Raw genomic sequence first — 26,974 nt, forward strand, 5'->3', positions numbered from 1 at the left:
CATTGAGAATTATAATGCATTGCTAATGAGCTTAACCTTTTATCATTCCATCTCTGATATTTCAGCTTATTTTGAATCCTACTTTCTCTGGTATTAGCCAGCTACATCAGTTTTACTTCCTTTCATTTTCAACCAATTTTATGACTCCATCTCAAAAAAAAAATGCATTCATTATACAGAGCATATAGTTTTGTCCTTTTTAAATCCAGTCTCAAAATTGCTAGCTCTTAATTTAAGTGTGTTATGGGTTGAATTGTCTGCCAAAAAAAACATACGTTGAAGTCCTTACCCCAGTAATTAAGGATGCAACCTTATTGAAAGATAGGATCTTTATAGATGTAATCAAGTCAAAATGGGATCATTAGAGTGGCCTGTAATCCAATGTGACTGGTGGCCTTATGAAAGGGGGAAATTTGGACACAAAAATGCCACCAGAAAGCACAACATATGAACATGAAGAAAGCCATCTAAAAGCCACGGAGAGATGTCTAGAACAGATTCTTCTTCACAGCCTTTAGAAGGAACCAGTACCTTGAATTCAGACTTCTAGCCTTCAGGACTTGAGATAATACATTTTTGTTGCTTGAGGCACCTAGTTTATGGTACTTTGTTATATAACCCTAGGAAACTAATATAAATGTTCAATCCATTTACATTTAATCAGTGATGTCAGTGTTGTTAAATCTACCATGTTACTATTTGCCTACTATTTTCTTATTTGGGTGTTGTTCTCTTCCCTTGGTTGTTGATATTTCTTTCTTCACCGGTTCAGTGTTACCTTCCTTAGAGTAAATGGATATTTTTCAATATTTCATTTTAATTATGCTATTGGCTTTATACCCTTCATACATGTGTTCTTGTTGATTCGATGTTCTTGGATCTCTGCATTGAAATTTTTCATCAAAATTTGAAAACACTGGCAATTATTTCTTCAAATATATTTTTTCTTTCCCATTTTCTGACTCATCCTTTTGAGACTTCATTTGTGTATAGGTTTGATGGCTTGATATCCCATGTCATTCAATCTCTTATTTTAATCATTTTCCTCTTTTGTTTGAGATTAGATAAATTCAAAAATGGTTTTCAAGGTTATTTGTCTGCTTTTCAGAGAGCTGAAATCTGAGAGTATACCCTGCCAGTGACTCTTTCATTGTATATTTTGCACTTGTTACTTCAACAATGTTCATTTCTCAAAATTACCTTTTTCGTTCTATCATTGTGACAATATCTCCATAGTCTAAGGACATATTCATAATATATATCTGTTGATTTCAATGCCTGGGTCATTATGATGTATGTTCTATTGACTGCTTTTTTCCCCTTGATTATTTATTAAATTTTCCTGCTCCTTTGCGTAACTTGTATTTTTGACTAATACACTGTAGAAAATCTAGACGTTGTCTTCTTGTAAAAGGCCCTAAGATAGTCCTTTGAAAGCTGTTAAGTGGCTTCCAGATCCTTTTGATCTGCCATGCCTGGTTTCATTATTTGTTAATGAAAATCTCTTTCATTTTTGTTCTTAAAGATAGGACATAGTCTTTACTGAAAGAAATAGTCCTTGTTCTTAATGCCTGGAATATTCCGTAAAATATCTTCCCTGTGGCTAGTCAGTAACCCAAACATCTCCTTGTCCTGTTACTACTGATATCTTATTCCCACAGTATCTGCTTTCAGCAGGTCTTGCAGATGTTAACCCTGCTCAGGTATAGAGCAGCTTTTGACGAAATTGGTGCCAAATACTTATTCTGGCTTCTGTAGGCCTACCCCATGCCTCTTTTTCCTTTCCTATACAAATTTCAGCCACTTCAGCAGCTCTTAAATAACAACCACTTAAGCAAGTGTAAGCTATTTACAAATATCGATAGATAGATAGATAGAGAGAGAGAGAGATGATATAGATAGAGATTTAATTGTAATTTTAGATTCAGGGGGTATATGTGCAGGTTTGTTACAAAGTTATATTGCTTGCTGCTACTGTTTGGGCTTCCACTGATCCTGTCACCCAGGTAGTGAACTGAATACCTAACAGGAAGTTCCTTGGCTCTTGTCCCTCTACCCCTACCTCTTTTTGGAACCTAATTAAACTAAGAGCTTCTGCATAGCAAAAGAAATTATCAACAAATAAGCAGACAACCTACAAAATGAGAGCTTTAAGCTTTAATTTCTTCCTCTAAACTCATTATTTTTAGAGTCTGCCTCCTTGTTTAATGGGAGAAAAAGTGCCCCTAGTCACATTCTCTGGTTAAATGTGGTACTTACCTCACAGCTTTCTTCTCTCTTGAGTATGAAAAACTTGTACTTCTTGTTTGATGCATAAAATCTGGTTCCTCATATATGTTGCCCAGTTTTATCATTGTTTATAGTGAAAAGGCAAGTCCCTCCAATAATTCTATTATGGCCAAAGACTAAAGTGCCTCTGATATGACTTATGTCCTTCAGAAATTGCTTACTCTTTAGTCTGTTGGTAGAATTCTTCTCAACTTTCCATAGTTATTTTAATAAGTACTATATTTTCCTATTTCAATGGCAATTTGGAATAAAGGAGAAATAAATGTATTTGTTTGGTCCATCTTTGTGTATTCAAACTGTTAAGTCATTACTTTTCACGTCCACTACACATATTACTGCACAGTAATTCCTTGTTTACACCTATAATCTCCCTCTCCTGTTTTCCTAGTTTCTATTCAAGTATTTGGGGTAACTGATATTTCTTAAAACAATATGTATTCTTGGAAAGAGATGTTTCTAGAATCCCCTTCTTAGGTGACTTATTAGGAAAAATTATAAGAATAAGAACGAGAATAGAGAACAAAAGTAATTGAAGACATCCACTTCAACTCTAAATCCCCCTAGGAGAAAAAAGGCTAGCACTTATTTAAATGCCCTTCTTAGGTGACTTATTAGGAAAAATTATAAGAATAAGAATGAGGATAAAGAAAAGTAATCGAAGATACCCACTTCAACTCTAAATCCCCACAGGAGAAAAATGGCTGGCACTTATTTAAACTCATCTAGGTTTTAGTTTTGCTGATGTTGTTTTTCCAATAATAATCTGTTTCAATTATTATAACAGCAATTTCAGTGAAATATGGTACTTACCAGCTAAGTTTTACACAGGGAAGCACTTTCCTAAACACTTCCCCATCCTTCTTCAAAGTTTGAATCCAAATCTTTTGTACTCCAGGGCTTATTTTGTTTTTCCTACAGCATTCTGCCTTTCTAGAATTAGCACTAGTTACCCTCAGGAAAAGCAAATACATGGACCCATAAAATAATCTTTGGAAGTCTTTCTTCTCCTGCTAGTTACCAAATTATAATCTTCTTATTGTAATAATAAAATAAAATAAAAAATAAAAAGAACTATTTTACTCTAATAAGTTTCCCATTAAGCTAAGCCTGCTTTTGTTGTATTAGAGATTAACATATGTAGACAGTGTTCTTTTTGACTGGAAATGGGGATTAGTTATGGTTCAAGTAATGCATAAACAAGATGTATTTTTAAAAATACGTCATATTTATGCATTATATTTAAGCAGCCATTTGTAAAAAGCTGAAACTTATTAGAAAGTGAATTCTTCATACTCATGTTTGTATTTTCAATGTTTAGGATTATTTGTTAGCTTAGGTATAGACTAGATTATTTTTCTAAACAAACAGGAATAAGAAATATAGGTAGTAAAATTTACATGACCTGGTAAAATTTAAAATATCCATTCTGACTAACAGGCAGTGATGAGAACAATAAATAAAATATATCTTGGTTTAAATTCTAAGTAAATATATTTGACAATATAAATATAAACATACTCATATGAGTGAATTGCTTCTAATTCTGGCTTTTAGCTAAATAAGCACTTAATGCTAGTAAGAAAAATACATTATTTCATAAAGATAACAAATTCTTTCAGAAATAGTAATTATATTTTTAAAGAGTTTGGGGAAAATAGAAGTGTATACTCTAATCTTATAGCAAAGTTTCTGCTAAGTTTTTGTGATGCCAGTGTTTTCATTATGAATCATTTCACTGTCAAACAAAATGTACGCTGTTGATTAAACACAGGCAAAAAGAGACGGAAAAAAAAAGGTATATTAAAAAAAAGACCTTTGGTTATTCTGGCTGCCACCAATTGCTTTCTTGTTTCAGCTGAATTTTGAAGTAGCTAATCATATTTTGGCATTTTCTTGTCATCAAAGCATTTCGTGAAATTATCCCATTACAATGTTTTTCTCAGAGGCAAAATTAACATGGTTGACAGTTTAATTGACATATTTCTTTTTCGTTGTGTGCCTTTGCCAATTAAACAAATTGCACCCTATTTTGATGTTCATTTTGTTAATTATTTGTAAAACTGTAGACTCTGATTTTTTTTTTTTTTAATTTTCAGGTGTCAGTTTCTTGGTCGGGAATGAAAATAGTGCCAACCTGTGATACCTTCACTCTAATTTTACTTTCTGAGGAAGTTTTCTGTAATAGTTATTTGGTGATAATTATTAATACTGGTGAGTTTTAAAATTTTTGCTTTCAGCAATTTTCCATTTTTTTCAACATACTTATATCGCAATGAGGCAACCAAATATGAATCCTGAGAATGAAGATGGAAAATGAATATTTTAATCCAATATCGAGTTGTTCTTTCAACATTTTTAGTTTTAGTTTTAATCGAAAATATAAAGTTACATAATTGTGTGAGGAATAATTTTTGCAGAGAAATTTTTAAAAATTCACAAAAGGAAAAAGAAACCTTTACCATGAGTCTATAACATTGAAAGACTGTGTTTAAGTTATTTTAATAAAGCCAAACCAACACTTTCAGCAGGAACTAAATGGCAGCATCTGATTTCACGCTGATACATATGTATTAGTGTGGTGCTCACTTTTACCCTTCATTTTACCTTGGGTCTTGCCATTTTCTTTCTTTTTATTTTTATGTTTTTTTGTGTTTTGTTTTCTTCTGGAGGAGGTAATTTTTAGGGAGAAAAAAAACACTTTTTCCTCATAGGTCGATTTAAAATGTTGGCCTTACCTTAATCTCCTCTCTCAAACTCAATCCACTATGTAATGGGTCAACATACTTTTCTGTGAAGGAGCAGATAGTAAATATTTTAGTCTTTGCAGGCCATATGGTCTCTGTTGCCAGCTCTTCCATTGTGGTGTGAAAGCAGCCATAGACAACACAGAAATGAATAAGTGTAACTGTTCCAATAAAAACAGATGATATGTTGAATTTAGCTCACAGAGTTTAGCTTGCTGCCCCTGCAGGAGGCCTTTGGAGTAAAAGCTTCCTGAGAGGAGGACTTTTTGTCTTTTTTGCTCAAGTTCTAGCTCCAGTACCTAAAATAGTGCCTGTCACGTAGGTATTGATGAATATTTGAACCTGTTGAACATACACCTAAAATAAAACATTTGGCAAGATACAGTACTACACAATTTGGAGAACACTTGGCTCCCATAGAAATCAAAGCCTTCCTGAGTAATTAATTATTTGGCCTGATGATGAATTACTGTGCCTGAGATGATAGAGCTAATTTATTTTTCAATTCACTCAGGGGACACACGTTATTTTCACTGTGAATTTGGTTAAAATGAAAAGATTTCCTGCTCTAAGTCCTGGATAGACCTTTATGTAATAGCATACTCTTCACTCTTTTTGAATCACATGCAGTTGTCACACTGGATGATTTCCAGACAGAGGCTCCAAGTCTTTCATCATGTTTGGGTTAAAGACCTCATTAACATACTAGTCCTGCCATTTGAGTCTGTTCTCTTCACGGAATATTTTCACCTGAATCAGTGGGTATAATTCATCAGTGTCTGGTTGCTTCAAGTTATTTTTCTTAATGCTGATGTTAATGCATGCCCATCTTTATGCCTCAACACATTGCACAATGAAAAACAAAAATTATTTTGGAAGACACAGCTGACATCTATATGAAATATTCAGTATCAGTGATTGAACTTCAGCAAGCTCCTGTGGCCAGCAGGGTTTTACGGAGGTGCAACTGCTCTCCCACGATCACTTATCATAAAGCCAGAGACAATTGGGCCAATGTAGCCTCTTGCCTGCTTTTGTGTACAAAATATAAATAGAATAGAGCAAATAAGGAAAAATAGTCCCGCAGCTGGAAGGCAACTTTAAAGAAAAATGATGTTCATAGCTGTCTTGCCAGTAGCTGGCAAAGCAGTTTTTATAAGACATATTTAATGTTTACAACCACTTGGAGGCTGGGGAAGGAGTAATACTTTGAAAATATGTTTAATGTTGTGAACCACTCTGTGGCCGAGAAGCAACTCCGGCTAAAATATATTTAATGCTTAGAGTCATTTGGTGGTTTCGAAAAAAAAGAAACTTCTTGTTAATTTTTAACATTTATTGCTGATCAGTGGCTGCTAAAGTAACTATCAGTACAGCATGATTTATATTTAGGGACACGCTGTGCTGCTACTAAAACAATTCATACTCTTCTCTCAAGGCTACACAAAAAGTGTCAATAGCATTACCTTTGCAATTGCACCACTAATAAAAACATAGGAATCAAACAGACGAATAAAATGCTCCCTGCCCACACAGCCATAACATCCTATGGCCCTGAAAATAGTTCCGCCAAGCTGCGTGCAGTGGACACTTCACGGCTGGCACAGGAGAGATCACAAGGCCTTGCTCAATTTCATCAAAAGTGTTAAAGCGACTCAGCAGATTGTGAAGCACAAGTGGAAGCTGATAATTGGTGTTTCTTACAAATCAACGGCTTGTCTCCACACATCAAGGTAAAGGCGTCCTCTACACCAAAGAAAATGTAAATTGGGATAGAAGGTCATTATGTTTTTAAATAAACTTGGTTAAATTTGTAGAAAGGGCAATGGTAAATACTGAGCTCACATGTCAGATGGAGAGAAAACTTGAGAAAAGGGAAGAAGATAATGAGCTGGAACCTTTACCATTTAGACTTTCTCTGGCTAGCTTTCTGAGAATGATCATCAAACTCTTATGAGGACCCTTTCCAATGTATTGACTGCACTTCCCCAGGGATTGTGGCAAATGGTAAATATATATTTTCTCCTTGCTACTTGCAATAACCCTGCTCATAAAGTGTTACTATTATTCACTTGCAGGTGAGAAAATCAATGTAAAAGAGGAGAAATAACCCACACAACCACATACAACTAGGAAATGATAGATGGATCTGAAAAAAAGGATATGCACTCTTAACAAGTTCAACACCCAAGTACTATTGCAAGTACCAGCTGTATTTCATGGAAAAAAAAAAAAGAATAACTCAAAAGGCAGAACGAAGAGCCTAGAGGTCAGAGATGAGAGGCATGAATAATTATTCACAGGCGTTGAATATAATCAAATGACTTGCAACATTTACCACTGGGATTTTAAAATGTGGTGGACCAATCATTCTTTTAGTCTGTGCATTTTCCCATTTTTTTCAACAGGAATGTCTAGAGACATTATTCCTGTTTTGCCACTGTATTTTTGGTGAATGTGTAGTAAGTAACTGGCCTCTTTAGTATCACAAAGCTGGATGAAGAAAATGTGGTACATATACACCATGAAATACTATGCCGCCACAAAAAGGAAATGAGATCATGTCCTCTGCAGGGACATGGATGAAGCTGGAAGCCATTATCCTTAGCAAAGTAACGCAGGAACAGAAAACCAAACACCACATGTTGTCTCTTAGAAGTGGGAGCTGAACGGTAAGAACACATGGACACAGGGTGGAGAACAATACACACTGGGGCTTGATGGGGGGTGGAGGGGAGGGATGGGGAGCATTAGAAAAAATAACTAATGCATGCTGGGCTTAATACCTATGTGATGGGTTGATAGGTGCAGCAAACCACCCTGGCACATGTTTATCAATGTAACAAACCTGCACATCCTGCACAGGTACTCCAAAACTAAAAGTAAAAAAATCTAAAAGAAAAAAAAAAAGAATTAAACCCAAAATCACTACCCCATCTGGACTTGATTTAGATGAAAAGCTTCTGGACTTTGAGCTGATGCTATAGTGGGTTGAAAATTTTGGGGTCCTCAGAAGGGGATGAGGATATATTGCATGAGAGAGCAACATGAATCATTGAGAGCCAGAGTATAGAGAGTGGTAGGTAGACTGTAGGAGAGCCCTCAATGATCCCGGCTTTCTTGTATTCGCGTTGCACTTACTTGTATAATATGGCAGATGGGATGTGATGTCACTTTCAAGATTAGGTTATAAATAGACTATGGCTTCAATCAGAGGGTTTTCTCTCTGTCTAGCTCTCTTTTGGGTAGTTCATTCTGAGGAAAGCCAGCTGCCACGTTATGATGTAGGCCTGTGAGGTCCACGTAGCAAAGAACATATGGAAGATTTCTACCACCCCCTAACTAAGCCTTTAGATCAGACTGCAACCCCAGCCAACAAGGTAGCTACAAACTCTTGAGAAGCCTTGAGACAGAGGTACTCAATAGAGCCATTCCTATGAGAAACGTAAGTATCTGCTGTTTTACACCGCTAAGGTTTTAGCTAATGTATTATGCCATAATAGATAAGTTATATACAACCTTTATCAAATAATAAAAGTAACCATCATCAGTAATGAGACAAATCAAAAACCATGGCCCACCCAATAGAACATAATGAGGAGAGTACAGAATTGCTTCTGGGATATTTCTGACAAAGATGTATATGCTTCATTCATACATGAGGAAACATCACACATACTCAAGATGGGAGAGCCATTCTAAAAAATAACTAGGCAGAAATCTTCAAAAATATTAAAGTCACGGAAACCAAGAAAAAATATGAACCTGTTTCAGATTAAAGGAAACTAAACAGACCTAACATTTTAATACAATGTTTGATTTTGAACTTGAACTTTTTGTTATATAAGACACTATTGAGACAAGTGCTAATGCTTGAATAGGGCTGAAGGATTAGATTATAATAATACATTAATGCAAATTTCCTGATTTTAAACATTGTAGTTTGATTGCACAAGGAGAATGTCTTTATGTGTGGAAAATAAATAGTCAACATTCTGTCTTCAAGCTTCTGAAAAAACTCTGCTTTTAGGGCATAGATAGAAGTGGATGATAATTCACCTGTTCCTCTGCTACTAATTGAGCTGCTCTCTGTTTCCATGGCTGGCTCATGGGATGAGAGAATATATCTAGTTTTTTATGTTTCAATTTGTCTCTCTATGGCATTTTTGTGAAAATAAGGAAGTGTGGAGACTTATATATGTTTCTAAATTATAATAGTTCATTAATGTAAAGTACAGACACAGTCTTCACTTTTCCTTCTTAGACCGTTTAAATATGGCCACGAAACAAGTAGTCTCTGGTTGGCTGGGCACTGTGGCTCATGTCCTTAACACCAACACTTTGGGAGGCCGAGGCAGGCAAATCACTTGAGATCAGGAGTTCGAGACCAGCCTGGCCAATGTGGCAAAACCCCATCTCTTCTAAAAATACAAAAATTAGTTGAGTGCGGTGGTGCACACCGGTAATCCCAGTTACTCGAGAAGCTGAGGCAGGAGAATCACTTGAACCTGGAAGGCAGAGGTTGCAGTGAGCCAAGACCGCACCACTACACTCCAGCCTGGGCAATAGAGCAAGACTCCATCTCAAAAAAAAAAAAAAGAAAAAGAAAAAAGAAAATAGTCTCTGGTTAAATAACCTCTGAAAGACTCCACCAAAAATTTCATCTTAGCATTTCTCCCCAAACTTCAGGTAAAATAAAATAGAGTTGAGAGAAAAATAGAAAGGCAAGGGAGTACCTGTTCACTATTTTTATTAAACCAGTGTTCTACTTTATTTTAGGTGTATCTTTTCTTATTTAAATGTCAGCTAAACTTTCTTTTTAAGATATTGAATGAAAGATGCCCGTCCTTCAGGTTTCGTTTAAGCAAGAATCCCCATTCTCAAATAATATAATATAAACTTTCCAAATTCTTAAGTAGATCATCTGAGATTGAAAGCTAAGTTTAACTTTCTCAAAGATATTTTAGCCGCCATGACACCTAGACAAAGTGGTATATTAAATTCTGATTAATTTGGTCCTAAAGCACCTAAGAATCATTCTTACTTTCTTATCCACAGCGGTTATTAAGTTTTCACATTAAAAAAAATCCAACAGTGAATAATACTGCATTGGGGTTACTGTAATTGTTAAGTAAAATAAGAAATACAAATCTTTAGTTAGATCACATGGCACCTGACTACTGCTTAGAAAATGGTAAGACTTACTACATAAATCATGAGTCACTATTGACATCTACTATATCATATCATAGGTTAGGTATCTAATTATAAATAGTCAAATCAGCTGACTCAAGGTGGCATAGCTCAAGCAGAGGAAGATAATACAAGTTGAGTATGGATTTAACACTCTAAACCTGTCAGCACTGTAGGAAAAGTAACTTAAAACTGCACACCCCACTTATGCATAATCATCAGATATAAAGAGGGTACATTCCTGTAATTTATTGTTGCTCTAGTGATCTTAAAGAATTAAGTCCACATTCATAAAGTCCAAACTTGTCTCCAAGGATTTGCTTTGACTTTGGGAGTATCTGGATCATTAAGTAATTTCCGGAGGTCAGAGTAAAAGCTTTTTATCTCTAAATATTACTTCCCTGGAATATTAGATGTAGCAGAAGTCAGTAACGGAGTGACCTTTCTCTTAAACAATTCATAGATTCACTGAAATTTTCTTCAACTTTAGGAAAATTAAATATATTCCACAGTGCTGTAAGTCTTAAATATTGATTTTCCTCTGAAATCTTGACTCATCCTACCCACCAACATTCTCCCTTTGTACACTATGTTCTTTGTAATGTTCATGTTACACAAGTGAAAATTAGTAACATTAGTAAATTTTCATTGCAGGTTTATTTGTTCATATTTCTGGATATATAATCCATTACTGTTAAACTTCATATCAATGTTCCGATATTTCTTCATCTTATGTTTTATGTTACAAAACAGGTTATTTCACTATATGTATGTTTAATTGATTAATTCTTCCCTTTTTTTGGAAATGAAACAGCACTCTCAATTATTGGGACAGAAAAGTTATTTCATAGGGAATACTTCAAACACTGATATCTACAACAGGCAGTAAGATTCGTCACAACAATTGGTATACTGTCAATATACCATACAAAGTTCCATCTGGTCTTGATTAAAAATTATTTTAGTTTTCTCAGGAAAATGATACAGAGGGAGAATTGCCTAGATTATATGAGAGAAAAAAAAGTAGAGAGAAACATAATGTTTTCTTAGATTATTACAGCAGTGAACTATTTCCACCTGGTAAGAAGGGTGCACTTGAGAATGGGGTTCAAGTACTCTAGGAACATAGATGTAAGTTCTGGATGCACAGTAGTTGTTGCTTAGCTGTAAGCTGGAAATTTCAAGGCAGAAACAGCAGATACCACAACTATAACTGGGTCTCCTTGTTTTTTGTTTTATGTGTATACGTGAGATTATGGGGAAAGACAAAAGTAATGCATAGAGATTTATTTTTTAACATTCAATTCATAAGCAGTGTTTATACCTCTTTGTACTTACTTGAAAAGTGTATATTATGTAAATTTAGTATAAAAACACTTGGACTAATTCATACCATGTGGTAAAATTTCACATTCAAAAGAAATACCCTTCTGTTATTAAAAATAAAAAAAAAAAGGAGCCAGGAGGGTGGCTCATGACTGTAATCCCAGTGCTCTGGGAAGCCAAGGTGGAGGGATCATTTGAGGCCAGGACTACTTGAGAACAGCCTGGGCAACATAGCTAGATCCCTTCTCTACAAAAAGTAAAAAAAAAAAAAAAAAAAAAAAAAATAGCTAGGCAGGGTGGCACATGACTGGCTATTAAGGAGGCTCAGGTGGAGGGATCTCTTCAGCCCAGGAATTTAAGGCTTCAGTGAGCTAAGATTGGGCCATTGCACTCCAGCCAGGGCAACAGACCAAGACCCAGTCTCAAAATAAATAAATAAAAATGAAAGAAAGCAGTGCACTGAAAATCAATTTAAGTATTTACTGGAGTTGTCTTGAAGGCCCAATGGGAAATGTCAGTAAGGGCACATGAGAAAACACTTTAAGAACCTATTCTTCCAAAGATCTTTCCAGTATCTTATGACAACACAGTAAATTATACCCACTCCAAATGCAAAAGCTGAAACTACTCTGCTTTCTCACTTAACTACACTTTTGACTTTCGAAATACATTTCTCTCTTCGGATATGAGCTGCAAACTCCTTATATAAAGGCTCCAACTCTGCAGCCCTAATTATTCTAGTTGGCCCAAGAAAAATCCTAATTGTTTTATCTAAGGAGACGGAATTTTCCAATACTGTAGAGGCATGTGTGTGTGTTTGCTTTAAGGAAGCTGTTTTGGTAATAAAAAGTCACTGAGGGTCATAAATTCATGTTAACACATCCAGTGTACATGAAGTAGGCACCGAGTTAAACTATTTGTCTACTATATAGCATGTCATCTTAAAAGCCTTATTTTTTCCTCAAAATATTAACTTTATTTTTCTCCCTGTAAAATCAAGACACAGTTAAAATGTAGCCTTCCTCATTTTCTGGGAATACTTTCTAACAAGATATGCTTCTTTCCAATTGGACTTCTAAATTTCTAGCAATTCTAACAGTGCATAAAAGAGGCAACCCCAAAAGTGTAGCAGGTACTGAATAACAGATTTGCAGCCTTGGGTATCCACATTAAAATTTGAAATCTAAGTGAATTACTTCAAGCTGATTTCTTAGGTCAAGGAGAGATTATGGTCCTTAAATGCCTGATAAGGTCACATACACAATTTCAAGTGCATTATAGTAAATCCATGTGACAGCTCCTACAGCTACTAACCTGCTTCTGCCCTCACGGTAGCGTGCACAATCTTCATCGCATGTCCTGGGTGGTGGTAGGAGCAGTAGAAACCCCCTGGGTCATGTCAGATTTAGAAAATATAAGCAATGGCTCATACACGAATTTTAAGTTGTAACCTACATGTGATAAGTTGCTTTATCTTCCAAATGTAATAAAAACCAGAAGTTACTTTGAAATAAATTGAAGGATTAGCAGTGGTGACTGAGGAATAAAAATTATAATTTAAAATTGTCCTTAAGGCTGGAATTCTTAACTTATTGACCTTATATCCTACATATTATAGGACTTTGTAAATTTAGGCTGATATGGAAATGTATATTTATATCAAATTTAAATTTTTAGAATGATGGTGCTACTATATTCTAATTGTTAATTTGATAATTGTAATTGTAATTTGTTAATTTGTTCTAATAATATTTTCATGACATTATTCATTTGCTGCTTGGCTTGATGGCATAACAAGTATGGGTTATTTACCCTGAAAAGGAAACAGTATCACCCTTCCAGAATCTCTATTTACAGCTACAGAAGATGCAACACACCTGTTTCTGGACCACTTCCAGATCAGATGTGATGCATGCTTTAGATCATTTACTTTGATCTAGGAATTACTGTCTGGCATTTCGTGGTGTAGGGTAGGTGTCTCCAGCACTGTATAGGTGTCTGGAATTGAGATAAGAATCAATTTCAATACAAAATACATTTTTTGCTTAAAGCACGCAAGGATTCTATGAATTCAGGTAAATTCACAGGGTGGAAAACAGGAACTAATGTTATATATTCCTGTAGTTATCTTCATAATGAAGCAGAAAGAAAAACAAAAAAGTTACAAAAATAAATGAAAAGAACTGTATTTTCTAGAATTGAAAAATAATTCTTTTAGATGATAGATAAGATGTTTACATCAACCTGCAAAAAGTCAATGTTGAAGAGGTCTCATTGTATCTCACAGAATTTTGATTTGCCTACTCACCCACAGGAGACATTTCTGGGACAGTAGCAACATAAGGTCCATCCCAAAACTTTGGCTCATTATCATTAATATCCTGCACTTTGATGATGAATTCTGATTCAGGCTCCAGGGGCTTTCTGGTTTCTATGTCCACAGCCTGAGCACGAAGAGTGTAGAAAGGTTTTTCTTCTCTATCTAGGCTCCTTATTGCATGAATGTCCCCTGTGGTTTCATCAATGGTAAAAACGGTGCCAGCGCCATCTCCTGAGAGGGTGTATTTCGCAGTGCCCTCTCCCTTGTCTAAGTCGGAATGGAGCTTTAGGGAAGAGAGGGAGAGAGAGAGGAAGAGAAAGAGAAGGACAAAGAAAGAACACCATTAAAAGGATGTTGCCAAATTAAAAAGTCATAATTTGCAATACAATTCCTTTAATCAAAAATGTTAAATAAAAATCTTATGGTTCTGTTTTCTTGTTTTTTATTTCTCCAACTTCTTTTTATAAAAATTTCAACACAAAAAGTTGAAAACTGCAATGAACACATATACATATACATCCAAACATTCCTCCATTCGTCTATTAATCTGCTTGCCTTATCAGATAGGTCTCATATCCATTCTTCTGTTCATCCTTCTCTTAACCCATTTTTTTTTTTGAGGTGTTACAAAGATCAGAACAAAAGTACAACCTCAGATATAGCAGCAGGCAAAAAAAAAAAACAATAAATTTTGAAAATTTGTATTTAGTTCTTCTGTATCCCTTTGGGATAACATTTTCATAAAATGAAATGCACAAAACTTCAGTGTACTTATTGTTTCATTTTAAATAAACATTGCAATAAAAATAAATTAGCTCATAAACACCACAAAATAAACTTTCCAAGTGTTCTGAAGATGAAATCAATGACCTGAATCCAGTGGGAGATAGTGCAAAGGAACTCAGAAAACACTAAGCATTTTCATTTGTAAAGAAGGGAAAAATCTGGCAAATCAAGAGGTTTTCAGTGATATAGGGCAGAGCGTCTCATTTTAACAGGCTGAGTTTGAATGAGTTTACCACTATGATTGGTAGAATCACTGATTATCCTTTCAGATTCACAAATAGCTTGTTCCAATTCATTCTATATAGAGAATATTTATGTTGAGTAATATAGGAAAGCATTGAAATTCTGCTAATTTTTTTTTTAAATTAAACACATGTATGGTACATTACATTATAGCATGGAATAAGATACACATGAATAAGCGATAAGGAAGAGAACTAAAGAGTAGAGAGAATTATCAGTGTAATGCCATAAAGCAGCGTTGTTCAAACCGGAGACCAAGAATAAATGAAAAATGGACACAGTCTTAAAAGTATATAAATTATGTGTAAATAAATATATACATAAAATATTACATAAAATAAAATAGTACATCATATACAATTTTCTAGTAGTATATATTTGTATAAATATATTCTTATGCATAATATAATTATATATACATAACAGTCATAAATAATATTTATATTAATTTTTATGCAGATGCTGATTTAAATGTTTTAAACTATTCTTGCTCATTTGGGTATAGCCATTTGATTTCAGCATCCAAATTTTTACATGTAACAGCTTTTTCCAGACAACAGATCACCCAAAAGAAAATTAAACTTTTGCAGCATTTCTAACCATTTGGGCTACGCCTTAAAAATCTGCATATGAGCACTGCTCTTTGCAAATCATTGCTTAAGAATGAGTTCTGTTTTCCTAACATTTCAACACACACAAAAACTCTGAAAATATTTTAAATTATATAAATATCCTGTTGCAAATAAGCTTCCTGTGTATTAGTATGAGTAATTATAGCCCAAATAAATACAAGTTCAACTGTGGCTACATCTTTGCTCTTAAGCTCAAGAGCGTGCTTTAAGTTCAATAAAATAATATCATTGTTCATATTAATGTTATTAAGGTAAACTTATTCATTTTGTGACCCTGCATTTCCTTCAATATTTGTTCTAAAACTGTTTTGTATGAGAGTATAAGCATAACCATAAAAACCTGGTTGGGTAATATAATAAAAATAATGTGGCAACAATAAGAGGGAACAAGATTTTGACGTTCCTTTAAAAGTTTCTGTATATTTTACTTAAGTATAAAGAAAATTGTTATGAATGATAGGAGGAAGGATTTTTGTCCACCTATTAAAAAAAAACTGCTGTGAAGCATAGGAAGTTTCAAGCATAAAATCAAGCAGTAGATAAATGTTCTTTGAACTTATGAATTTCAAATTATAAATTTCAACCATGCTATTAAAGATATTCAACACAGTGGATATTCCTTTTGCTTTCAAATTTATCTAAATATATGAGACAGGCAAAAGCTCAATGCAAAAGGCATGACTTTATAAAATGGATCCATTTTGCCAATAGCTCAAAGAATTATGGTAATATTGTGGGAACTGAGTGAAAATTCAGAGTAGGTTTTGAAATGTGATACAAGTAGAATTTTAAAAAGAAAAAAGAAAAAAATTTCTGTATTTAGCTAAAATCATAACTGTTTCCTTTGCAAACTGACATAAAAATGAAGAAGCAAAATGTGTCTTTAGTTATATCCAAGTTCCAAATTCAAGTTAATTACTGCTGCTCCTCACTCTTCTACCTTTTCCTTCAAATTTAAAGATGGGCTTTGCAGAGATTAAAGCTTCAGAAAAAAATATGGGAAAATATGTTAAAATGTTGACCTGAAAATGAAGTGGATGACTATAAAACTCTTGAGAGAATTAGACTTTTTGTAGCAGTTTATTACATGATAATACCTTAAAGGAGATCACATTCAGTGACCTGCGTTGACAGGTAATATTTAAAATTAAGTATTAATGCTGATTAATTCAGGCAGATGGGTGGTAGCCTAAAGTATAGACATTTTTCCAATATTAATTTTGATATTAAATAAATGACATCGGCTCTTGTTGGATATTGTAAAATTTCCTTTACTTCAACTGTAAAATAATTTCAACAGTGAAAGGTATAAAGTAAGATGAAAATTTCCATCATGATCTTACCTAGAGATAACTTCTCTTTTTTTGAGTCGGAGTATCGCTCTCGTTGCCTAGGCTGGAGTGCAGTGGCGTGATCTCGGCTCACTGCAACCTCCACCTCTCGGGTTCAAGCAATTCTCCTGCCTCAGCCTCCAGAGCAGCTGGAACTACAAGGCGCATGCCACCATGCCAGGCTAATTTTTGTAGTTTTGATAGAGACAGAGTTTCACCATGTTGGTCAGGCTGGTCTCAAACCCCTTACCTCAAATAATCCGCCCGCCTCAGCCTCCCAAAGGGCTGGGATTATCGGCATGAGCCACTGCGCCCTGCCTTCTTTGTTAATTTTATATGTTTCGGTTATGTAAATATATAACTGAAAGGGTAAATATATATAAATACATATTTACTGCACATTTATATTGATATATATTTCTCTGCTTGTATCTATCTATATACACACTTTATAAATAAATGAGTCAAGATTTTTAAAACAAAATACCAAATTTTTCAGTATCATTTGAAATTTTTCAAAATTACTTTTTTAAAATTTCTGCATATTCATTCAGTGAAGTTGAATGATCCAGTGGGCACTCTGTATTCCTTCATAAACTGTGTGGTGAATGTGCGTGTGTGTATGTATGTATATGCACGTGTTTATGTGTTTTCTGGGGTTAATTTCCTTAAAATAAAAAGGCAACTGTCAAGACTAAAGCTATAATAATTTTTATGAATCTTAGAAAATGTTGAATTTTTAGTGATTCCAGAAATTGATCTCTATCGATGAAACTGCTTTCTCAAATACGTCAGCAATGGGATTCAGGCTTTGCTTACAATGTGAAGGAAGTTCTTAGTCTCATTTGCACAAAGAAGGAAGGAGGGCTAAAGATAAAAAGAACTCATAGTCTTTTCCATAGTTTTGGGTCATGTTCACTGTAAAAAAAAATCACAAGATGCCATTTTTACACAGCCTTTTTAATCTACACATACGGCAAGCTAATAATTCCAAAAAAATAATTTCTTTCCTTTGTAGCCATTTAAAACTAACAGCTAGAAATATTTCTTCTTCCAATTATTAAAAATAAGCTGTTTCTGAGTCGGTGCTGACTACATTTACTGATTGAAGCAGCCAACTCCAAATATACCATCTTTTAGTATTGACACTTAAAATAAAACTTCTCCCCAGAAAAAGAGTTCTATAAATGATGGCTGTAGAAATAGGCACTGTCCAGGCAGTTGTTTTGTGGAAGTAGTGTTGTTATTTTCTGGTGTTTTCCAAGTCATCTCAGATGGTGCGTGAAAATGAGATGCCAAAGAAGGCTTAAAAAAGATACCCTGCACCAGCTTCAGAATGTAAGCAAATCTTTCATTCCAGCGCTTAAAAGTTTTGAGAAAGCTAATCTAAAGTTAAATGTTTACTAGCATCTCTCCGATTATATTTTAGAAACTACTGCACAAAAATAAAACAAATTTCTTATTTTCTCTGGGTTGAAAAGTGCACATAAAATGGAAAATGCTTTTTATACCACTATTTCCAGCAGGGATTTTATTTTCATTTGTCATTTGCCAGCCTGGGGTATGTTGGGAGAAGGAACAATTGATTTTTGAAAAGGTGCATTTGTGTGAAAACCAAAAATTGTGTTCAACAAATACTACTACTAACCCATATGTGGATATATGTGTTTTATACATGAGTAAAAAAAAAAAAAAAAACATACATATATGTATGGCATATATATATATATATATATATATATATATGCTATAGAAATGCCATCAAGTTACCAGTTTACTTCTAAATGTAACTGCTTAATATAAAATATGCATCTTTTTGTAGTACCTAATTCTTGCAATTCAGTGTATTTCCTGGCGAGAGGCAGAGATGAACAACCCTGGACAGTTACCACATATGGCTCTTATGAGGTAATGAGGATGGTTGTGATGAGAAGGGTAAAAAATAAAAAAGTTATTACAAAACATTTTTCAAGGAATTTTCCAAAAAATGATTTTAATATTCTCTTTGCTTATGGAATGATATTTAAAACCATGATTTCTGTGTCCTTTAAAATGACTTCTGATTTGTGAATTGTTCTCTGTGCTCCAAACTTCTTTTATTTGTCCCTGTGTTTATGCTCATAACCATTCATTTCCCTCTTTTCCCACTGACTTAGCCTCTGGGGTTGTAAAGAAGTTACTCGTTTATTTTTGTGTATGTGTGGGGTTTTGTCTTTTGTTTTCTGAGAATAAAGTATATGAGATCATGGAAAAAATCAGAAAACGAGGAAAATCATAAATTCATTACCAAAATAATTTCTGATTTGGTATTATAGCTCTGCAAATTACTTCACTAATTGTGTTCATAGGTACTATGGTACACTGTACACTGTTTTGTAACTTGCTTTTTAGATGGATTATATCATATTTTTCTGTATCAATAAATATGAATTCATTACATCAGTTTAAACTGATCAAAAACATTTTAATCAAAGTAATACAATTAAATTGCTAAATATCATAGGGAATCGAAGAGTTTATAATCCCAAACCATACTCTTTCTTTTCCTAGCCAGCTGGGGACATTTTTAATTGTTTCTATTTTCATTCTTTCTGTTTCAGTTCTTATAAAAATACATATATAAAATTGGCTAAATGATTAAATGTTATAGTAGTTCTTTAATTATAAATTTGAATAATATTTGTTGACTTCCAAACTGCATACCCCTTGCCTTGTCCAAGTAAAACTGTACCATCGTTTATTCTCTGTGTTGTCAATAAAACACTAAGTGATATCTGAGTTTCTAAATTTCAGTTCACTCATAGAATGTATCCTTTTTTTTCTTCTTGCCTCCAACATTTTATTATGAAATTTTCAAATTCATGATAAAAGTATATAGTATTCATCTGTATACTTACCTCCTAGTCTATATATTTTTTACATACTGTTTATAATTGTTTTATTATTTTCTACCCATTTGTCTATCTGTTAACCCAGCTTAATTTTTGATGCATTTAAAAGTAGGTTGTAGATACAAATAACCATCACCCTAACACCCTTCAATACAATGTTTACAGTTGTTTTTTTGACATTGGAATGTATCTGTGGTTTCTCTATTTCATAGGATCATAGCATTAACACCTTTACACTTCCCCTTACATCTCCTTCCATTTCTTCTCCCCGTCCGCCACCAGCTTCCATCATCTGTATTATACAGAATCTGTCCTAAAAAATTCTGAAGTAGGCCTTAGGTTTTTTTTGTTTTTTAAAGGGTCTTGTTCTGTGGCCCAAGCTACAGTGCAGTGGCACAATCTCAGCTCACTGCAGCCTCTGCCTCCTGGGCTCAAGTAATCCTCCTGAATAGCAGGGATTACAGGCACAGACTACCATGCTTAGCTAATTTTTCTATTTTTTTATTTGTAGAGATGGGGTTTCATCATATTACCCAGGCTGGTCTCAAACTTCTGGGCTCAAGCAATCTACCTGCCTATGCCTCTGAATGTGCTGGGATTACAGGTGTGAGACACCCTGTGTGGCCAGGCCTCTTTTTAAAAATAAGCCTGATAGTTAATTTTATATGTCAATTTGACTGAGCCATAAGTTGCCCAGAGATTTTGTCAAGCATTATCCTGGGTGTGCCTCTGTGGGTGTTTCTGAATGAGATTAGTATTTAAATCAGTAGACTGAATAAAATAGATTGCCTTCCCTAATGTGGATGGGCCTCATTCAATAGCTGTGGGAATGAATAGATCAAAAGGGCAAACCCCTCCGTGAGTGACAGAGATCTCTTCCTGCCTGACTGCCTTCAAGCTGAGACACTGGAATTTTTTTTCTGCCTTTTGACTTCAATTAAAACATTGGCTTTTCCTGGGTCTTGAGCCTGCCCGTCTTTAGACTAGAACTAGAAGCTATCCTGGGTCTACAGTTTGCCAACTGCATACCTTTGGACTAGTCAGCCTTTATAATTGTGTGAGCCAATTCCTTATAACAAATCTTTATATATCGATATATAGAGATATATATTGATATATATATATATATACCTATATAGAGAGATATATCTATATATCTATATAGATATCTATACCTATATAGAGAGATATGTCTATATCCATATATAGATATATAGAGATCCATATATATCCTCTATATATGGATACATCTATATATAGAGAGATCTCTCTAAATATCTCTATATCTATAACTATATCTACATCTACATCTATAGCTATATCAACATCCAATTTGTTCTTTTTCTCTGAGAACACCTACTGATAAATAAGTTTCTAAGTTTTGTCTATCAGTTGATGCTAAAACATTAAAAAAAGAGAACAACTAATACTCTTTTTACACTAATTAGAACAATGTAAGCCTTTTTGTTTTATTACCAAATAATTTGTATTTCCTATGTAATTGCTGCAGTTTTATTTTGCATATAGATTTTTTTTCCGTAACATCTTTGTCTGTTAGTGGTTTTATTTATGTATTTTTTTAATATCCTTAGATTCATCCCACTTCTGAGGTCAGACATCACATCTTTTCACTACATGCCTCTCTTTGGGAGGTTTCTTTCTTGCTAATCCAAACAAGAACATCTGCACAATTGTCAACCTGGAATTTACTTTATTAATCTCCTGGTTTGGAAACACTTTTTCTTGGATGTTATATTTACTTTGGTTTACTATTTTGTTGGCTTGCACTAATTTTATATGATTTCTTAATAATGAGTGTATGTTAGACATTTTACTTGAGTCTTTTCATATCACAGTATGCCTTTATTTTACCCTCATATATAATTAATTTTCATCTGGGCATATATTTCCAGATTAGAAATCATTTCTTTTCATACATTTTAAGGAATTTATACATTTGCATCTGAAATTGTATTCATTATCTTCTAGAAACCAAGAGTGGACTTGGTATCCGTCTGATTATATTTTCTTTGTTGGTAAAGAGCCTCTTTTTTCCCTTTTTATTTTCATCTTCTCTTTCTCTAGTGTTTATAATCTTATTTTTATGAATGTAGTCTAATTATTTAGAACACTGTCTCCGAGTATGTGTTTATTTGGGTTTGTGTTTTGAACATTGCCTCCAGGTGCGAGTTTATGTGTGTTTATGTTTCCTATTTGAGGTTGGACACTTAGAAAATTTTCTCAATTCGAAAACTATTTTCCTTCAGCACTCAGAAATTTTTATCAATGATTATTTCCACGATTATTTCCTGTCCTTGGTTTTTCGTGTTCTTAACCTAGAATTCAATTGTTTAATGTTAGACCTTACACATCTTCAATGTATCATATATATTTCACTCATATTATTTATTGTCATATCTTTTGGACTATTGTGTGAAAGCAATAAATGTATATTACTTTATTTATTGGTAATGCTCTTCATTTTCAAATTTAATACACACAAATTGTGCATACCCACACACATATACCACAGATATATTCATTTTCAGGATTTCTTTAAGTGTTATTTTAAAAATAATCATATTCTTATTTTGTGAACTGTGGGATTTCTTGAAACTTTTTGAAAACTCTCATTAGTCTGTGTTTGTGTGGTTTCTTTAAATTATCTCTTCCTTCAGAATTACTTTTGTGTTTTGAATTTGAGTCTTTGCCATTCATAAGGCGGGCTTTCCTTGAATACCAGATAACTCTGAGTTTCCTGTTCATATTTAAGAATAAATAACCTAATTTGAAGTTTTGAGTTTTTGAGTTGTATTTATTGATCAGAGTTTTGGCCTAGAATGAATAAAAGAATCAATCATTTCTTCTACTTTCAGATATTCGGTTGGGGGTGTTCTAAGCACAATGGTGTCCCAACACTGTCCTAATTCTTTACAGGTTACCTACAGAATAACGTCTTTTAAAAATTATTTCTTTATTGTTTACATTCTGGTCATTAATGCCTATATTTTATGCATTCTCAAGCATATAGGAGAAATTCTGTATATAGAATATTAGTTCATCTCTGTGTTTTTCCTGGCAAATTTTATGCCTTTTCTTTGGAATCACTGCCAAATCTGGGTCTCTTTCAGAGCTGTGCCTTCATTGCTGGAGCCCTCTCAGTGTAAACACTCGCATATAGCTCCTTTGGGCTTGTTTAAACAGTCACCAATCCTTCACCTATGTGCAATGTTACAGAAATTGGCCATCTTCTCTGATGACCTCTACGCCACTCCCTCCCATCAGAATTACGGGTTGTTATTTTTGTTCCTCTGCTATAAATTACTGATGCTCTCTGAAGAGGAGTTAAAGGTGTTTGGGAGGTACACCATTTCCCTGTACCAAAATCATATTAAGTAAAACTTGAAATCAACAGAAAAAATAGAAGTAATTATATGATGAAAATCTATATTCTCACAATCTAGATTAAACCATTCTCAACATTTTGTTGTATTTGCTTTACTTTCATATATGGATGATTTGAAAATAATTTACAAACATCATACCAACTCACTACACAATATTTCAGCACCAGTTTTCTGAAAATAAGACCTTTTCCTGCATAACCACATTGTCACAGTTTCAGTTAAGAAAATTAATTAAAATGCCTGTTATCACTTAATAATGGGTCATATTCAATACCCCCACTTCTCTCTCCAAATATCTTTGTAGCATTTTCTTTCTTTGTTTTCTGAACACGAAGCCCCATAAGTTTCAAGCATTGCATTTGGATTAGTGTCTTTACTTTCCTTAATATAGACGGATCACATATTTAAATATTAACAATTTATTTGTCATTATCTTTTGTCATGGAACTAGGTCCCCATTTTGAATTTTTCTGCTGGAATGAGAAACTTCCAGACATGTGGTCTAAATCTTTATTGCTCTATCTGTTTTACTATCGCTCTTCTTCAGTCTCAAAACATATATGGACAAAAGCAATCACATAAAGGTCTGTCCTACTTAATACGGACATCTTTATAAAAGCAGTTACAGAATCTTCTGATAGATCTATACACACATTCAGATGTAAGGGATATGTTTCTTGTACAGGATACTCTCAGTACATTTTGTTATAATAATCACGTATAAGTGGTAAGACCCATTACCATTCTTGAAATCTATGATTATAAGTGATGTAGAATGGTTTAGTAGTTAGTGATTGAGATTTAAAGTAATATTGTCACTGATTTGTTTACTTACACACAGGATTTACTCACTTAAACCAGCCAATATGAGTATAAGAAAATTTTGCGTGAGTTTCTTTGTCTGAAATAATTTTATTATGTACAACACAAACTACTTTTGCTAGATTCTTCCTGGTAAACTTATAAAACACTTAGTGTTTCCTTTTTTGAAGTTGCCTAGTTTCATGCTAATACTTATTCTGAGCTCAAGAACATCATAGTGGCCATTATATTAACTACAAAGCCATTAGATTATACTTAAGGTATTTATAGATGAAAGAAGATCAGACCCAAAGATGATCTATAACTCTGCCTGAGTAATGTTATGCAAATTGTTCTCTTTTCAAAGTCACCGAATGCCCAAGAATATTTAACATTCTATGCTAGTCTACTCTCCTGAGGTGACTCATTTGTTCTCCCTAGTTTAATTGTTGCTATATGAGCAAGAGGGATACCACTTTACAAGGTTAGGAATTCCCTCTAACAGCCCAATGTGCTTTGAGAACTCCCCTGCCTGAGTAACAGACCCAGAGCTATTTATCATCTGGAAATATTTCACCTTATATTGAAGAGAGCAGAAATCCATCTCAAAAAGGCCCCCAAGCATCCCCAGTGTATGCCAAAGAAGCTCACAGAAGAAAAAAGAATATTTGCAATGCTCAAGAGCAAAAAAGCTTATGTGCTAGGATATATTATACATCCTGTTATAGAAAAAAAAATATGCTATTCCCCCAATGCTGTCTTTTATCTTTCTTACTTTGCTCGAATATTGCCTTCATGGCTACATATAAAAGCCATCCTATTTTCTCAGATTGTCATATTTTACAACTTTAGCTCACTCCAATTATAATCTCTCATTTCAAAGTGTCACAATATGTGAATAAGAACTTCTATAAAAGTTGGAGAGGTCACTGGCTTGGACCCAGGATTTGGGAAGAAAAATATGAGAGAAGGTTAAAATAACTTCTTTCTTACTTTTCCAACATTGTAAAACATATTTCACAAGCTCGGTTTTAGGGAAAAAATTTCCAGACAATAAACCATTCATATCAAATTTTCAGTAATGGAATCTCTATTTTGAATAACAGTAAATTTGATGTATCATTTCAAACAATGTAGTTATTTTTCAGAATACTACATAAATGTATGTGATTTAGTCTAGATTTAAAAATAAATGCCAATAATAATCAGTTATTAATAACAATACATTACTATAGTTAGATATCATTTCTTAATTTATTGTTAGCATTTCTTCATTATTTCCATTATTAGCTCTTATCGAATATTATATACTATGTTAAATGCCTTATAGGTTTTATTTAATTTTGACTAACCACTGATATGCTATCATGAAAAATCTAGTAATAAAATCTTTTTAACTGAATTCAAATAGTCCCAAGTGCAAAATAAAATTTTAAAAACTATATGTCCTACACTAATTTATTTGCATATGCACTTAATAATCCCAATAAAGCAGCTTAACCCAAATCTGAACTCGAATGTAAAACTCCATCTAACCTAATTTCTTTCTGTTAGTCTTTATTATCATAGTCACTTCTATTTATGTTTTATTTTCTCCTTTATTTTTTAATTTTTTTTATTTTAAATACCCTTTTATTTAATGGTATAAAATGTCTGGCTACATAAAATCAAATCAATTACGATAAGATAAATATAAGTACGATTTCAAAAAAAGCTAAATCTAGCTAAAAATTCTACATTTTTAACACATGCGAAGTATACATGATTTATTAGTAAAATGTAATACATTGGGAGTAAAACTTTAAAAAATATTTGATATATTCACATTTCTTAATTGCAGTATAGACAAAATGACCTACGAATCAAGCATTTTGTTCCACGGTCTCTACTGTTAGCTGTATGTCTCAGAAACAGCTTCTTTCTCAAGAGAGAACAAGAGGGATAATGCTGGATCTAAAGGCATCATCTGAAGAAGACAAAGATATCAACAATCGCAACTATTTGGCTTTCTGTCCATCACTGAGACTTTTCATAATCTTCCCTTCATAAATAGGATCTCTTGATCAGAACAGAAAAGTTGAGTCTTAAATTTCCTGTATTTATTTCTGACTGATACTGAGGGAAGTGCAAATTTGGTTGCTATGATTAAACTCCTTGATTGTTCTTAATGGGACTCTTTTAATAAGTCAAACATTTTTGCCATCTAAGTATATTGATGAGCGCCACTTTATCTCAAATGTTTACACATACTAGGGAAAAGCATCTGCAGTTTCTGAACTCTTTGTGAATCAGTATCACTTTTTCATGTTACTTCAGAGATCAATATTCAGTGCATTGGTTTTATTTACCATCTTTTCTCCCAGTTGATCTTGTAATCATCAGAAAGGGAAAAAAAATCTCCTTCACAAAGCCCTTTGCGACAAACTTATGTAAATAATAATCTAAGGACAGCTAGAAAAAAAATACACCATACAGGGGAATAGATCCAAAATTGATATCTGCCTCACCTGTATCACCTATTGTATTAGTAACTGGAAAGGTAAATAAATAACAGAGACTAGAAGGTTTCCAAACGTAGTAGTGAAAACTACTCCCCTCCTCCCCCCATATAACACTACAACAGGTTACTTTGGTTACAGGATATGACAATAGCTCTGCAATATCAGAAAAATGCCTGCCTGGCGCTGCGGCTTATGTCTGTAATCTGAGCACTTTGGGAGGCTGAGGTGGGCGGATCACTGGAGGTCAGGAGTTGGAGACCAACCCGGCCAACATAGTGAAAACCCGTCTCTACTAAAAATACAAAAATTAGGTGTGGTGGCGGACGCCTGTAGTCCCAGCTACTTGGGAGGCTGAGGCAGGAGAATGGCGTGAACCTGGGAGGTGGAGCTTGCATTGAGCCGAGATCACTGCACTGTACTCCAGCCTGGGCGACAGAGCGAGACTCCATCTCAAAAAAAAAAAAAAAAAAAAAAATGCCTACAGTAGATTAGAAATAAGGAAAAGTTGCT

The 26,974-nt window shown here is 33.9% G+C and overlaps 2 pseudogenes across 1 annotated transcript in view; one reads left to right on the forward strand and one right to left on the reverse strand.

Moving 5' to 3' along the window:
* Positions 1 to 26,365, forward strand: part of GUSBP16 (GUSB pseudogene 16) — a 153,001-nt pseudogene extending 126,636 nt beyond the window's left edge. The window contains exons 9-11 of the transcript NR_146391.1: positions 4,386 to 4,500; positions 7,112 to 7,705; positions 25,804 to 26,365. The product of NR_146391.1 is annotated as a GUSB pseudogene 16 (transcript). The remainder of the gene's footprint in view (positions 1 to 4,385; positions 4,501 to 7,111; positions 7,706 to 25,803) is intronic.
* CDH12P1 (cadherin 12 pseudogene 1) lies at positions 13,858 to 14,159 on the reverse strand (annotated as a pseudogene).
* Positions 26,366 to 26,974: the final 609 nt, after the last annotated feature.

The sequence above is a fragment of the Homo sapiens genome, chromosome 5 (assembly GCF_000001405.40).
Source record: "Homo sapiens chromosome 5, GRCh38.p14 Primary Assembly".
Lineage (NCBI taxonomy): Eukaryota > Metazoa > Chordata > Mammalia > Primates > Hominidae > Homo > Homo sapiens.